A 17524-nucleotide genomic window follows, 5' to 3' on the forward strand; every position below is an offset into this window, starting at 1 on the left:
ATTACAAAAGAAGTTCTTTACTAGAAAGATTTGGGATAGATGGAATTAAATATATAAGCATCACATAGAGTTCTTATTTGGTTTAATGTATAAATTTAATTGTACAAAAAAACTACAAAGATTGGCATTGATATTTTAATGTATTAAATATTATTTTAATGTATTAATGTAAATATTTCATTCTGTATTAAATTATTATTTAGTTTTATAATCATTAGTTGTTCAAATAAGAGCTATCTTCTTCTTAATGTTATCCAGCTGATGCTCTCCTATTGTCAATCTATTTCCTGTACATTTAAACATTTGAGTGTTCTCAGTTTATGCCAATATACAGAGCATTTTCAGAATTATTAATTAGTGCTATATTTGATGATTACAATAAAAACTATGCATACATACTTACCCTGAGTAATAGAATTTTACCATATAATGCACATTAAGGTTTAATACAAGGTACAACAAGAATGCTGAACTATATTTGAAAGTAGATACTCATAAATGCAAATATTAATAATAAATCCCAGTGACATACTTTGTATAAACTGCTGACATTGTCATGATGCTTATATATGATAATAACCAATGTAGTCATGTGATTATTGATTGTGCAAAGTTCAAGAATTTCAGAATTGAAATTTAAATGAGCCTTGGACTTTCCAAAACTCAAAGATGATACCTAATACCAGATTTTGGCTGAAAATTTAACATTCATGTATTATTCATATACTTTATGCATATATATATATATATGCACAAATGTCTATATAATAGATGCACATCACTGAACATAAACCATACGATATATACAGCTTTATATCTTTTTTTAGTTACCATATTATATTTTATTGGTTTATTAAGTATTATTTTAAGAATTGTACAATATTCCAATATCCACCTATTTCAAATTTATTAACAATTCCCTTATTACTGAACTTCTCCAAAATTTCTTATTGTTAACACATATTACTTTAACATTTAAAAAGACAAAAATATTTTTAAAAACCATATTAACAAAACATGAACTCAGATATTTACTAAAGCCAAAACTTTACATCTAAAAGTTAAACGATTAATTGAATTAAGAAAAAAACTTTAAAAACTTACATATGTGTGTGTATGTGTATAGTCACCATAGAGGGTGAATAAAACAGAGAAGTTTAGTATCAATTCTGTTTTCAGTTCTTAATCCTTTTTTCATATTGCCACCTTAAAATTCTGATTTAAAAAATCTTTACAGTTAGTGCTGATATTAACATTTGCTATTTATTTACTCACAAACATAAAGATTTATTTGCTGAGCGAATATTTATTTGAGAACCTATTATGTCCCAAGTCTTCTTCTGGGTGTTGGGGGTATAACTGTGAACAAAACAGAAAAAAACCTTCTCTCATGAATTTCAAGTTCAGTCATTAACATGTGAAGCAAGATCTTAAGGAAATAATGGAACAAGCCATGTGGTTATCTAAAGGAATGGTAGTGTAGGGAGCAACAGATGCAAAAGCCCTGAGGCATGCCAGGAATTTTTTAACAAGTGACCCAGTGTGGCTGGAGCCGTGTGAGTGAGGAGAAGAGCAGTAGAAGAGAGAAACAGGAGATCATATAATTGTCAATTACTTGAAGGCTTATCAGAAACATTCACTAAAGTTTACAAATTTTATTTTATTTAAATATTTCCAATTTACACAAGAAAGAAACTCCTAAAATTTCAAGAATATATGTAAAATACCAAGGTCATTTGATAAGTAAGTAGCCTGAAAATAGGAGCAAAGACACCACCTTATTGTTACAGAGCAGGGATGGTAGACAAGGCTCTGCCCACTGCCTTCATTCCTACAGTAGAAGGGGAGGGAAGAGCATTTTTTCATGGTGATTGTATGAAATAGAAAAAGGGATGGTGAACATGCTTCTGTCCTTCTGGGGCACCTTTCTCTGGTACGTTGTCTAGAGAGAATGCTTTTCATGGGGTTTTATTTATCCACACACATTAGCTTTTCTGGATTTTTAGGCTTCTCTAGCACCTAGACTTGGATATATAGAAAGGAAGACAACTTCAGGGGTACTCACCAGAGTGATATTCTTCAAGTTTCAGTGTCCCTAATCCACTTGGCTTCTTCCTTCTTTCAGATTCTTTGTTTGTTGCCTTATAAATTTTATGTAGGGTTTTTTTGTGTTGTAGATATTGGGAGAATTAGGGTCAAATGCATTTGCTCCATCTGGTTTGGACACAAATGCTTCCTTTAAAACTAAGATATAAAGTAAATTTAATTGAAAAGAGTAGTCTTTTCAACAGGGAATATTGATATCTATATGCAAAGGAAATCATCTTTGATTTGAATCTCACATCAGATGCAAAAATGCATCTGATGTGAGATCTAAATGGAAAACTATAAAATCATGAAACTTTTAAAGAAAAGGTAGGAGAAAATCTTCACGAACTAAGCTTAGACAAAGTGTTTAGACATAACACTAAAGCAAGATCCACAAAAGAAACAACTGATAAGTCTAACTTAATCAAAATTAAAATAGTTTTGCTCTATAAAATCACTATTAGTTGAATGAAAAACAAGCTACAGACTAGTAGAAAATACTTGTGGATCACTATTTAACAAAGGCCTTATAAACAGGACATATAAAGAGCTTTCCAAATTTAAAAGTAAGAAAATAAACTACCCTAAAGAATAGAAGACTTGAAGAGACTGCCAAAGAGAATGTACAGACAAAAAATGAGCACCTTTGAAAAAATGTTCAACATCTTTAGCCATTAGAAATATGAATATTAAAACCACAATGTGCAATTACTACACATATATCAAAATACAAAATTAAAAGCAATAATGATAGCACTGTGTTTGGATTAAGATGTGAACTAATGGGATCACTCACATATTGCTGGTGGGAATGTAAAATGGCACCATTCTAGAAAATAATGTTATAGCTTCTTACAAACTAAATATGCTCTTAGCAGTTGAACTTTTGGTCATTTATTTCAGAGATATAAAAACTCATGTTAAAACAAATGCTGATAGCATCTTTATTCATAATAGGCCAAAACAAAAAAAAACCATTTGTTTTGTAATGAATAGTTAAACAATCTGTTGTACAAACATATCATAGAAAAATACTCAGCCATAATGAGGAAAGAACTATTGATACACAGAACTACCTGGATGGATCTCAGGGAACTAAATGAAAATAAAAACAATCTCAAAATTTTACATACAAAATTAATGCATTTATATTACATTCTTGAAATGAAAAAATACAAAGATTATAGAGAGATTAGTGTTTGCCAGGGATTAGAGCGCACAGGAGGAAAGAATGTAACTGTGGCTCTAGAAGGGTAACTACTATCAGTATTTTGCTAAAAGAGTGTGTCTCTCTTTAAATCAATTAGACATTTTCATAGTTCTGAAGAGCTGGATTTTTGTGAATTTTCTCTAACAAAACTGCTATGTAAAGGAGGTTACACTTTATTCTGAAACATAAAATTAAATCAAAAGGATTCCCAATGGCTACCTATAAAGATTGTATTGCTGTAATAACTAAGCTAAACAGAAACTACATTTCTGAGAATTCCATTCCCTTTGTGGTAGAACTGACCATGAAAGAAACTACATGACATTTAGAAAGGGAAAGTGAAGCAGCCTCCACGTTTATACTTCAAAGGTCAGTGTAGTGTAAGGCTCTGTTGTAGGTCAAGTACATTATCTGAGATTTTCTGAAAGAGTGACCAACCTTTCTGGTTCAGTTGAGACTGTACCGTTTTAGTACTGAAAGTCCCTCATCTCAGGAAACTCCTCAGTTCCAAGTAAATCAATACAATTATTTACCTATGTTCTCCACAATTTCAAGGCCATCTTTTCTTTAGTATTGACTGTCCTGCTACCTGCACAGCTGCCTACACAAGCCCAGCAACATACAGGCCCGACAACAAACTTGGAAGCAATTATAGTAAAGTGCCTAATCAATCCCACACTGTATTATGTCAAATTCCTATAATAAACCCTTTACTCCGTATCACTTATCTTCTCTGCTCAAACAACAACTAATACTTCAATGGTTTTGTTTACTGTCATCATCTTGAGGACAAACATGGATAGTTATTTTAGCAGTAATAATAATTACTCCTTACATTGGTATAATATTGTATATTTACTAATTACTTACAAGCACATTAATCTATTTGTTGTAATAATTGGAAAGAAAGCAGAATTGATTTTAATATATCCATTATTTATAAGCATGTGGAATATAGCCTTGCTTTTTTTGTTTTTAATAATTTCTCCTCTCTAGAAGGTAATTAACATAGCCATTTACCCAGACATTTAGAATATATCATCTCTTCTAGCATATTTTAAGAAGTCAGTGTGTGCAAAATATACAGAGGTAATCAAGTTATGGATAATCAACTTATGTTAAAGAGTACAGCTTCTGGCTTAGCAGTTAATTTCTTCATTCCAGCTTACATGAATCCCAATCCAAGTTGACTAGTAAGTTTAAGTACCCAAGTAAAAGTTGTGTTTTTTTTAATTGAGTCTGACTATGAGTCAATAGACTCACAGGATTCATATGTTTGCATTAAATGTTTTTTCTTAGGCATTTACAGGACATCTAACTGGGATTTCTATTATACATTTTTATAACGCTTAACTAACAGTACTATTCAATTTCACTTTTTTTCTTTTTGGTTCCTCCTTTGACCTGGACTGTGTTTCTAGATATCACTGCCTAGGTCAAATTGCATCAACCTCCTTAAACTCAAGCTCTCTCCCATGAGTTCTACAGTTTATCTTATGATGTCTGTCTTTTCCCATATACACACTAGTGATTTTTGGTCTCAGTTCACATACGCTTTACTTAAAGCCAGAATAAAGAAGAAATATTATGTGCTTGTTTCAACAGATATAGAAAATAATTTGATAAATATATATTTTAAAAAAACTTTCCTTAAAAAGAAATTTTCTCTCTGGAATTAGATTTAGAAAAGGAAGATAGCTATTTCTGTTTCATACTGTATTAGAGGTTATTAGCCAAACCAAAGAGGTAAAAGTAACAAGAAAAAAAAGACATAAGACTATGATTATTTGCAGGCTATATAATTATGATTACCTCCATAAAGCTATCAAAGTTATCAAAAAACAACAAACTATTTGAAGCAAAAAGTAAACTTAGCAATGTTAATAGGTGTAAAGTAACTGAGCAAAATCAGTTATATTTCTATATAACATCAACATAAACTTAAAAATAAAACTTGAGAAAAGTATTATTTATGAATATTATAAAAAACATTAAATGCATTAAATTAAATTAAACATTAAATTTTACAAAATGATCAACTGAAAAATATAAAATGTTATTCACAGAAATTAAAGAATACCTTCAGTAGACAAACATACTATTTTTATGGATTAGAAGACTCAATATCTTGAAGATGTTAATCATTCTCAAATGGGTCCATAAATTGAATGCAATGAAAATCATAGAAAGTTTTGTATCACGTCTGTGTGTTTGTGTGTGTGGGTGTGTGTACACATATGTTTGAGTATAGAAATAAGCAAACAGATTATGAAATTTTTATGCCTCCAGCTCCATCCATGTTCCTGCAAAGAATATGATCTTGGTTTTTCCTTTTTTTGACTGCATAGTATTCCATTCTGTATTTGTAGTACATTTAATTCTACCATTAATGGGCATTTAGGTTGATTCTGTGTCTTTGCTATTGTGAATAATGAACCTAAATGTACATATGTCTTTTTGGTAGAATGATTTATATTACTTTGGGTATATACCCAGTAATCGGATTGCTGGGTTGAATGGTAGTTCTGTTTTTAGGTCTTTGATGAATCACCACACTGATTTCCACAATGTTGACCTAATTTGAACTCCCACCAACAGTGTATAAGCATTTCTTTTTCTCTGTCACCTTGCCCACCTGTGCTATTTTTTGACTTTCTAATAATAGCCATTCTGACTCGTGTGAGATGGTATCCTATTGTGGTTTTGATTTGCATTTTTCTAATGATCAGTAATGTTGAGGTTTTCTTCATATGCTTTATTGGCCACATGCATGTCTTCTTTAGAAAATGTCTGTTCATATCCTTTGCCCACTTGTTAATGGTGTTTTTTTCTTGTAAATTTGTTCAACTTCCTCATAAACACTGGATATGATATATTTGTCAGAGGCATAGTTTTCAAATATTTTCTCTCATTCTGTAAGTTGTCTGTTAATAGTTCATTTTAATGTGCAGAACTCTTAAGTTTAATTTGATTCTATTTGTAAGTTTTTGTTTTGTTGCAATTGCTTTTGGTGTTTTCTTAATGAAATCTTTGCATGTGTCCATGTCCTGAATAGTATTGCCTACGTTGTCAATCAAAGTTTTGATAGTTTTCGGTTTTACCTTGGAGCCTTTAATCCATCTTGAGTTGATTTTTGTATACGATGTGAGGAAGGAGTCCAGTTTCAATCTTCTGCATATGGCTAGCCAGTTACAACAGCTTTATTTATTTAATAGGGATTCATTTCCCCATTGCTTGTTTTTCTCAGCTTTGTCAAAGATCAGGTGGTCAAAAGTGTGTGGCCTTATTTCTGGGTACCCTATTCTGTTCCATTGGCCTATGTGTCTGTTTTTGTACCAGTACCATGATGTTTTGGTTACTGTAGCCCTATAGTATAGTTTGAAGACAGATAGCATGATGCCTCCAACTTTGTTCTTTTTAATTAGCATTGCCTTGGCTACTTGGGCTCTTTTTTGGTTCTTTTTTTTTCTTTTTTGGTTCTTTTTTTTTCTTTTTTTTTATAGCCCAGAGGTCCTTTATTTATTTTTTTAACACCTATTTTTTTCTAGTTTTTTATTTATTATTATTATACTTTAAGTTTTAGGGTACATGTGCACAATGTGCAGGTTAGTTACATATGTATACATGTGCCATGCTGGTGCGCTGCACCCACCAACTCGTCATCTAGCATTAGGTATATCTCCCAGTGCTATCCCTCCCCGCTCTCCCCACCCCACAACAGACCCCAGAGTGTGATGTTCCCCTTCCTGTGTCCATGTGTTCCCATTGCTCAGTTCCCACCTATGAGTGAGAATATGCGGTGTTTGGTTTTTTGTTCTTGCAATAGTTTACTGAGAATGATGATTTCCAACTTCATCCATGTCCCTACAAAGGACATGAACTCATCATTTTTTATGGCTGCATAGTATTCCATGGTGTATATGTGCCACATTTTCTTAATCCAGTCTATCATTGTTGGACATTTGGGTTGGTTCCAAGTCTTTGCTATTGTGAATAGTGCCACAATAAACATACATGTGCATGTGTCTTTATAGCAGCATGATTTATAGTCCTTTGGGTATATACCCAGTAATGGGATGGCTGGGTCAAATGGTATTTCTAGTTCTAGATCCCTGAGGAATCGCCACACTGACTTCCACAATGGTTAAACTAGTTTACAGTCCCACCAACAGTGTAAAAGTGTTCCTATTTCACCACATCCTCTCCAGCACCTGTTGTTTCCTGACTTTTTAATGATTGCCATTCTAACTGGTGTGAGATGGTATCTCATTGTGGTTTTGATTTGCATTTCTCTGATGGCCAGTGATGATGAGCATTTTTTCATGTGTTTTTTGGCTGCATAAATGTCTTCTTTTGAGAAGTGTCTGTTCATGTCCTTCGCCCAATTTTTGATGGAGTTGTTTGTTTTTTTCTTGTAAATTTGTTTGAGTTCATTGTAGATTCTGGATATTAGCCCTTTGTCAGATGAGTAGGTTGTGAAAATGTTCTCCCATTTTGTAGGTTGCCTGTTCATTCTGATGGTAGTTTCTTTTGCTGTGCAGAAGCTCTTTAGTTTAATTAGATCCCATTTGTCAATTTTGGCTTTGGTTGCCATTGCTTTTGGTGTTTTAGACATGAAGTCCTTGCCCATGCCTATGTCCTGAATGGTAATGCCTAGGTTTTCTTCTAGGGTTTTTATGGTTTTAGGTCTAACGTTTAAGTCTTTAATCCATCTTGAATTGATTTTTGTATAAGGTGTAAGGAAGGGATCCAGTTTCAGCTTTCTACATATGGCTAGCCAGTTTTCCCAGCACCATTTATTAAATAGGGAATCCTTTCCCCATTGCTTGTTTTTCTCAGGTTTGTCAAAGATCAGATAATTGTAGATATGCAGCGTTATTTCTGAGGGCTCTGTTCTGTGCCATTGATCTATATCTCTGTTTTGGTACCAGTACCATGCTGTTTTGGTTACTGCAGCCTTGTAGTATAGTTTGAAGTCAGGTAGCATGATGCCTCCAGCTTTGTTCTTTTGGCTTAGGATTGACTTGGTGATGTGGGCTCTTTTTTGGTTCCATATGAACTTTAAAGTAGTTTTTTCCAATTCTGTGAAGAAAGTCATTGGTAGCTTGATGGAGATGGCATTGAATCTATATATTACCTTGGGCAGTATGGCCATTTTCACGATATTGATTCTTCCTACCCATGGGCATGGAATGTTCTTCCATTTGTTTGTATCCTCTTTTATTTCCTTGAGCAGTGGTTTGTAGTTCTCCTTGAAGAGGTCCTTCACATCCCTTGTAAGTTGGATTCCTAGGTATTTTATTCTCTTTGAAGCAATTGTGAATGGGAGTTCACTCATGATTTGGCTCTCTGTTTGTCTGTTATTGGTGTATAAGAATGCTTATGATTTTTGTACATTGATTTTGTATCCTGAGACTTTGCTGAAGTTGCTTATCAGCTTAAGGAGATTTTGGGCTGAGACAATGGGGTTTTCTAGATATACAATCATGTCGTCTGCAAACAGGGACAATTTGACTTCCTCTTCCTCTTTTCCTAATTGAATACCCTTTATTTCCTTCTCCTGCCTAATTGCCCTGGCCAGAACTTCCAACACTATGTTGAATAGGAGTGATGAGAGAGGGCATCCCTGTCTTGTGCCAGTTTTCAAAGGGAATGCTTCCAGTTTTTGCCCATTCAGTATGATATCAAATAACTAAAATCAGAGCAGAACTGAAGGAAATAGAGACACAAAAAACCCTTCAAAAAATTAATGAATCCAGGAGCTGGTTTTTTGAAAGGATCAACAAAATTGATAGAGCACTAGCAAGACTAATAAAGAAAAAAAGAGAGAAGAATCAAATAGATGCAATAAAAAATGATAAAGGGGATATCACCACCAATCCCACAGAAATACAAACTACCATCAGAGAATACTACAAACACCTCTACACAAATAAACTAGAACATCTAGAAGAAATGGATAAATTCCTCAACACATACACTCTCCCAAGACTAAACCAGGAAGAAGATGAATCTCTGAATAGACCAATAACAGGAGCTGAAGTTGTGGCAATAATCAATAGCTTACCAACCAAAAAGAGTCCAGGACCAGATGGATTCACAGCCGAATTCTACCAGAGGTACAAGGAGGAACTGGTACCATTCCTTCTGAAACTATTCCAATCAATAGAAAAAGAGGGTATCCTCCCTAACTCATTTGATGAGACCAGCATCATCCTGATACCAAAGCCGGGCAGAGACACAACCAACAAAGAGAATTTTAGACCAATGTCCTTGATGAACATTGATGCAAAAATCCTCAATAAAATACTGGCAAACCAAATCCAGCAGCACATCAAAAAGCTTATCCACCATGATCAAGTGGGCTTCATCCCTGGGATGCAAGGCTGGTTCAATATATGCAAATCAGTAAATGTAATCCAGCATATAAACAGAATCAAAGACAAAAACCACATGATTATCTCAATAGATGCAGAAAAGTCCTTTGACAAAATTCAACAACCCTTCATCCTAAAAACTCTCAATAAATTAGGTTTTTTAACACCTATTATGCCATGAATTCATAGGGAATAAGTTCCAGCAGCTCAGGCTCCTTCCCATTGGTTCTCACAAAGTGTGCTTCTCTGGGTGGAGCAGGCTGGAACTTTAGTTGAACCCAGGTACCTTTCTCTTTGGCTTCTTTCTTTTTCTGATCATTTTCCTTCATGCATTTCAGGAAGCTATCTCGGCTCTTAGAGTGCTAAATGTGCTCAATACGCACATTAATTCTCTTGGCAAGAATCTTGCCCTTAACTTGTTTGTTTACAACAATGCCAACAGCATGCTGGGTAACATTGTAGACTCTTCCAGTTTTGCCATGGTAACACTTGTGGGGCATTCCTTTTTGAACAGTACCCATTCCCTTGATGTCTACAATATCACCTTTCTTATAGATTCGCATATACGTCGCCAAAGGAACAGCTCCATGTTTTCTAAAAGGCCTAGAGAACATATATCGGGTGGCTCTCCTCTTTCCCTTTGTGTTTGTCATTTTGGCGAATTACTGGAAGATGGCGGTTCCGTCCAAAAGCTCCTTTTTGGTTCTGTATGATGTAATTTGGCTCTGTGTCACCACCCAAATCTCATATTATAGCTCCCATAATTCCCATGTGTTGTGGGAGGGACCCGGTGGGAGACAACTGAATTATGGGAGTGGGTCTTTTCCATGCTGTTCTTGTGATAGTTAATGGGTCTCATGAGATCTCATGGCTTCAAAAATGGGAGTTGTCCTGCACAAGCTCTATTTGCTTGCTGCCATCCATGTAAGATGTGATTTACTCCTTCTTGCCTTCTGCCATGATTGTGAGGCTTCCCCAGATGCTTGGAACTGTAACTCCATTAAACCTCTTTCTCTTGTAAATTGCCCAGTCTTGGGTATGTCTTTATCAGCAGTGTGAAAACAGACTAATACACCATATAACATTTACAATAGGTTTATCTAGTTCTGTGAAGAATGTCATGGGTATTTTGATAGAAATAGCATTGAGTCTGTAAATTGCTTTGGACAGTATTGCCATTTTAATGATATTTTAATCATCATTCTTTCAGTATGGCCATTTTAATGACATTTATTCTTCCTATCCATGAGCATAGAATGTTTTTCCATTTATTTATATTACCTATAATTTATTTGAGCAGTGTTTTGTAATTCTCATTGTAGAGATCTTTAGCCTGCCTGGTTTGCAGTATTCCTAGATTATGTTGAACCAACCTTGCATCCTGGGGAAGAAAACCACTTGATTGTGATGGATCACCTTTTTGATGTGCTGCTAGATTCGGTTTTCCAGTATTTTATTCAGGATTTTCGCATCGATGTTCATCAGGGATATTGGCCTAACATTTTTTTTTCTTTGTTGTATCTCTTCCAGGTTTTGCTATCAGAATGATGCTAACCTCATAAAATGAGTTACAAAGGAGTCCCTCCTTTTTAATTTTTTGGGGAAGTTTCAGCATGAATTGGTATCTGCTCTTCTTTGTACCTCTGGTAGAATTCAGCTGTGAATCTATCTGGTCCTGTGCTTTTTTTCGGTTGGTAGGTTATGTATTACTGCCTTAATTTCAGAACATGTTATTGACCTATTCATGGATTCAATTTCCTCCTGTTTCAGTCTTGAGAGGGTGTATGTGTCCAGGAAATTTTCTATTTCTTCTAGATTTTCTAGTTTATGTGCATAGAGGTGTTCATAGTATTCTCTGGTGGTTATTTGCATTTCTGTGTGGTCAGTGCTGATATGCACCTTATCATTTCTGATTGTGTTTATTTGATTCTTCTCTCTTTTTTTCTTTATTAGTCTAGCTAGTGGTCTATTTTATTAATTTTTTGAAAAGCCATCTCCTGGATTCATTGATTTTTTGAAGGGTTTTTTTGTGTCTCTGTCCCCTTCAGTTTGGGTCTGATCTTGGTTATTTCTTGTCTTCTGCTAACTTTAAGATTTGCTTGCTCTTGGTTCTCTATTTTTTTTTAGTTGAGATGTTAGGTTGTTAATTTGAAATCTTTCTAACATTTTAAAGTGAGCATTTAGGGCTATAAATTTTGCTCTGTTAATACCGCTTTAGCTGCATCCCAGAGATTCTGGTACATTGTTTCCTTGTTCTCATAAATTTCAAATAACTTCTTGATTTCTGCCTTAATTTCATTATTTACCCAAGATTCATTCAGGAGCAGGTTGTTCAATTTCTATGTAGTTGTGTGTTTTTCAGTTGATTTCTTAATCTTGAGTTCTAATTTGATTGTGCTGTGATCTGAGAGACTGTTTGCTATGATTTCAGTTCTTTTGCATTTGTGGAGGAGTGTTTTATTTTCATTTATGTGATCAATTTTAGAGTAAGTGTTGTATGGCAATGAGAAGAATGTATATTCTGTTGGTTTTTTGGGTGAAGAGATCTGTAGATATCCATAAGGTTCTCTTGATCTAGAGCTGACTTCAGGTCCTGCATATCTGTTAATTATCTGTCTCAATGATCTGTCTAATACTGTCAGAGAGGTGTTAAAGTCTCCCAGTACTATTGTGTGGGAGGGAGTCTAAGTCTCTTTGAAGGTCCCTAAGAATTTGCTTTATGAATTTGGGTGCTCCTGTGTTGGGTTCATATATACTTAGAATAGTTAGGTCTTCTGTTGAATTGAAGCCTTTACTATTATGTAATGCCCCTCTTTGTTTTTTGTTTTTATCTTTGTTGGTTTAAAGTTTGTTTTGTCAGAAACTGAAATTGCAACCCTTGCTCTTTTCTATTTTCCCCTTGCTTGGTAAATTGTCTCAATATCCTTATTTTGAGCCAATGTGTGTCTTTGCACATGAGATGGCTCTCTGGAAGACAGCATAGCAATGGGTTTTGGCTGTTTATCCAGCTTTCCATTCTGTGTCTTTTAATCAGGACATTTAGCCCATTTATACTTAAGGTTAGTACTGTAATGTGTGAATTTGATCCTGTCATCATGATGCTAAATGGTTATTTTGCAGACTTGTTTGTGTTGTTGCTTCATAGCTTCACTGGTCTGTGTACTTCAGTATGTTTTGTAGTGGCTGGTAACAGTTTTTCATTTCATATTTAGTGCTTCCTTCAGGAGTTCTCGCAAGGCAGGCCAGATGGTGATGAATTCCCTCAGCATTTGCTTGTCTGGAAAGAGCTTTATTTCTCCTTTGCTAATGAAGCTTAGTTTGGCCAGATATGAAATTCTGGGTTGGAAATTATTCTCTTTAAAAATGTTGAATATTGTACTCCAATCTCTTCTGGCTTATAGGGTTCCTGCTGAGTGGTCCACTGTTAGTCTGATGAGTTTCCATTTGCAGGTGACCTGGACTTTCTCTCTGACTGCTTTTTACATTTTTTCCTTGATTTTGACCTTGGAGAATCTGACGATTGCTTGTCTTGGGTTGATCTCTTGTGAAGTATCTTACTGCAGTTCTCTGTATTTCCTGAATTTTAATGTTGGCCTGTCTTGCTAGGTTGGAGAAGTTCTCCTGGATGATATCCTGAAGTATGTTTTCCAAATTCATTCCATTCTCCTCGTCTCCTTCAGGTACCCCAATCAGTCATAGAGTTGGTCTCTTTAAATAGTCTTATATTTCTTGGAGGTTTTATTCATTCGTTTTTATTATTTTCTCTCTATTCTGGTCCGCTTGTCTTATTTCAGAAAGATAGTCTTCAAGTTCTGAGATTCCTTCCTCTGTTTGGTCTAGCCTGCTATTAATACTTGTAATTCCATTTTGAAGTTCTTGTATTGTGTTTTTTCAGCTCTATCAGGTCGGTTATGTTTTTTTCTACACTGACTATTTTGGCTGTCAGCTCTTGCATTGTTTTATCATGATTTTTAGCTTTTTTGCATTGGGCTACCACATGCTTCTTTAGCTCAGCGAGATTTGTTTTGATACACATTCTGAAGTCTACTTCTGTCATTTCAGCCACCTCAGCCTCAGTCCAGTTTTGAGCCCTTGCTGGAGAGGTGTTCCAGTCATTTGGAGAAAAAGGGGCACTCTGGCTTTTTGAGTTTTCAGCTTTTTTGCATTGATTATTTTTTCATCTTTGTGGACTTATCTACCTTCAATCTTTGAGGTTGCTGACCTTTAGATGGAGTTTTTGTGGGATTTTTGTTGCTGTTTTCTGTTTGTTTATTTTGCTTTCAACAGTCTGCCCACTATCCACAGGGCTGCTGCAGTTTTCTGGGGTTCCACTCCAGACTCTAGTTGCCTCAGATTTTCCCATCTCTGGAGGTATCACCACTGAAGGCTGTGAAACAGTAAAGATGGCAGTCTGCCCCTTCCTCTGAAAGCTTCATCCCAGGAAAGTATTGACCTGTTGCCAGCACACTCCTTTCTTAAGAACTGAAATAATTATTCTCTCAATTGAGAATACTCTCTTCCACATTTTATTCCTCACAGCAAATAATATTTAACAATTCTTAGGTTTCATAAGCGTCATACCATCAGTAAAAGTCAATCAAGCCACAAAAAAGGAAAATATCCACTTGCCAACAGTTTGACCATCCCTTTATGGGAGAATACCTTGTCTCTAATTAAAGACTATTTAAATGTAGTCATAGAAGAGCCAGGCTAAGAATCCTTCTGCACAGCGGGGAGAGACATGATTATAATTCCAAATAAATTTAGCCATTTTTTTTGGTTTGTTTTTTGGGCTATGGCATGTGTTTCTGTTGACACCAATTAGCTCATAGCAATTGGTGAATAGTAGAACAGTATCAGTATACATTGATTGTTGTGGTGGTTCATGTGAGATTTTTTTTTTTTTTTTTTTTAAGCAAGAGGAGCCAGAAGAGAGGGAACAGAATTACAACCTTTATCAGGAAATGAGATATCCCTCAGCTTGATGACTGCACAGGCAAGGAGGACTTTCATCTCTAATTTAAGAGGTCCCACCCAAAGGGCCTTTCCCCAATCTTTCAGGGCTTTCCTTTGCTCACAGTTCCACTTGCATCTGAATTTTCTTAGTGCCCACAAGCCAGCATTTTCATTCTGTTTGCAAATTTGTTGTTGTTGTTGTTTGAGACAAAGTTTGCCTCTTGTCACCCAGGCTGGAGTGCAGTGGCATGATCTCGGCTCACTGTAACCTCTGTCTCCCGGGTTCAAGCAATTCTCCTGTCTCAGCCTCCTGAATAGCTGGGATTACCAGAGCACACCACAATGCCTGGCTAATTTTGTATTTTTAGTAGAGACAAGGTTCGCCATTTTTATATCCCTTGAGGCATCTACTGCCTATGCCATCCAAATTATTACCAAAGGCCCAAATTACTGTTCCTTTATGGGTCTGTAGAGAATGTTATATAGGTTTTAGTAGACTGCCCAAAATGACTTTTCCATAAGCCCTATTATTTCTAGTGTGTGAATTGGCAGAAAGCAAGCTCTTTTGCATATTTCATGTTGTGGCAGAATACTCTTATTGCTAAAAGGAATTCTGTGGCTAATGAGGAGTAAATTAATAATTTAAGTATAGATAAAATAAAGTGATTCAATAAATTTAATGAAATAATAATTGTACTTTCATAGCAGAACTATGTGTTAATATAATCAACTCAAAAGACAGTTTGTAATCAAATAAATTGTTTTATTTAATGAGTTATGGCCTATGTTTAACTTCAAAAAATATATAAATATTTTATAAATATATATAAAGTACACACTGCCCTCTCAATTTTAGTCTGTTTCTCTGCTTCTATGACTATTATGTGATCTATAACACAAGGTCACAAGGCCAGTGTATGGCCCCATCAGCCACTGGCTACTTTAAACATCATACATTTTGAGTTGTAGGAATAAAATGATAATCATTGGCCATTTTTCATAATAACTTGTTTCTCCTCTGGATCAGAACTCTTGATTACTGAAAATTATCTTATTCTAGTGTAAGACAGTTATCCTCAATGTGAGAGAATTATGGTAAAATAAAAAGGTGAAATCTGAATAATAAGTGCTGTGATAGTTAATTTTAGGTGTCAACTCGACTGGATTAAGGCATACCTGGAGAAGTGGTAAAGTATTACTTCTATGTGTGTCTGTGATGGGGAAGATCTGTCTTCAATGTGGGCAGGTACCATCCAATCAGCTGGGGGCCAGGTTGGAACAAAAAGGCAGAGAAATGGTGAATCTCCTCTCTCTCAATCTCTCTCTCTCTCTCTCTCTCTCTCTCTCTCTCTCTCTCTCTCTCATAAAGCTGGGGAGCTGGTACTCTGTTCTCTTGCCCTTGGACGTCAGAACTCCAGGCTTTCTGGGCTTTGGACTCCAGAAGCTAGAGCAGCAGCCTCCCTGTTTTTCAGTCCTTTCTCCTTTTACTAATAATTACACCATCAGCTTTCCTAGTTCTGAGGTTTTCACACTTGGACTGAGCCATGCTTAGCATCCCACGGTCTCCAACTTGCAGAAAGCCTGTTATGGGACTTCTCAGTCAAATAATCACGAGTCAATTTCCCTAATAAATCCTTTCTTATCTATCTATCTATCTATCTATCTATCTATCTATCTATCTATCTATCATCTATCCATCTATCCCTCCATCCCATTGGTTCTGTCTTTCTGGAGTACCTATACTAATGTAGGCATCAAAAAGCCTAGCTTACCCCACTGGTAGCATCTTTGGAATAAAAGGAAATAATGGGGGAAATATGGTAAGGTCTTATCATGTTGTGAAAGACTTACTTTGGGAACAGAAGTGAAACTGCTTAAAGAGGGACTAAAAATTGTGTGGACCGGCTGGGCGCAGTGGCTCATGCCTGTAATCCCAGCACTTTGGGAGGCCAAGGCAAGTGGATCACGAGGTCAGGAGATCGAGACCATCCTGGCTAACACGGTGAAACACCATCTCTACTAAAATACAAAAAATTAGCTGGGCGTGGTGGCAGACGCCTGTAGTCCCAGCAACTCAGGAGGCTGAGGCAGGAGAATGGTGTGAACCCGGGAGGCAGAGCTTGCAGTGAGCTGAAATTGGGCCACTGCACTCCAGCCTGGGCAAGGGAGCGAGACTCCATCTCAAAAAAAATTAAAAAAACCTTGTGGACCTTTTATCCAAAGAGTTGTTTTGAAAATAAGCTGTAGTTACCTAAATAAAAAACACTGTTACTTACAGCAGTTAAATGAAATGTTTACATGTCTTACTGATAACAAATTTGAAATAAAGTTGAGACCAATATGATTCCTGCCTTAATAACTCTGGATGGCATGAATCATGGCACTCACATTAGTTCCCCTTGATAATGGAATATTTGTTATTTTCATTTATTAGTCCTTTTTGCCTCCCAAGGTTCCTTTTGAAAGCTTTATTTGCCAGCAATAAAAAGGAATAAAATATATGATAAAAGTAGACAGATTATTAAGGAAACTCAAGAACAAAAGATCTTTTTTTAGCAAAAATAATTGCTATCACTTAGACTATAAACAAAAAGATCTTCTCTGTTTCCCATGGTCCCTCCCACTTGATGACGAATTGAATTACTCTGAAGGAAAGCATAAATCAGAGTAAAAGTAGGTATATTGGGGAATATTTATAAATATATATGTATTTATATACATATGTCTTAATTTGTTTGTTGTTGTAAAGGAATACCTGAGACTGGGTAATTTATAAAGAAAAACATATGGCCAGGCATGGTGGCTTATGCCTGTAATCCCAGCACTTTGGGAGGCCAAGGCAGGCGGATCACTTGAGGTCAGGAGTTCAAGACCAGCCTGACCAACATGATGA

General features: G+C 35.6%; 1 pseudogene, besides 2 other annotated features; it reads right to left on the reverse strand.

Moving 5' to 3' along the window:
- Positions 1189–1724: an enhancer, noted in NCBI's record as "NANOG hESC enhancer chr3:145533387-145533922 (GRCh37/hg19 assembly coordinates)". NCBI's record gives its function as "activates a minimal SCP1, AML or CMV promoter by ChIP-STARR-seq in naive H9 embryonic stem cells {active_cell/tissue: H9 hESC(naive)}" and the evidence as "EXISTENCE:reporter gene assay evidence [ECO:0000049][PMID:30033119]".
- Positions 9771–9940: an enhancer, noted in NCBI's record as "experimental_65040 CRE fragment used in MPRA reporter constructs". NCBI's record gives its function as "activates a minimal promoter by MPRAs in K562 erythroleukemia cells, with activity observed for both the introgressed and non-introgressed 3:145542054 variant alleles {active_cell/tissue: K562}" and the evidence as "EXISTENCE:reporter gene assay evidence [ECO:0000049][PMID:34662402]".
- RPL21P39 (ribosomal protein L21 pseudogene 39) lies at positions 9832–10367 on the reverse strand (annotated as a pseudogene).

Source organism: Homo sapiens, chromosome 3 (assembly GCF_000001405.40).
Source record: "Homo sapiens chromosome 3, GRCh38.p14 Primary Assembly".
NCBI lineage: Eukaryota > Metazoa > Chordata > Mammalia > Primates > Hominidae > Homo > Homo sapiens.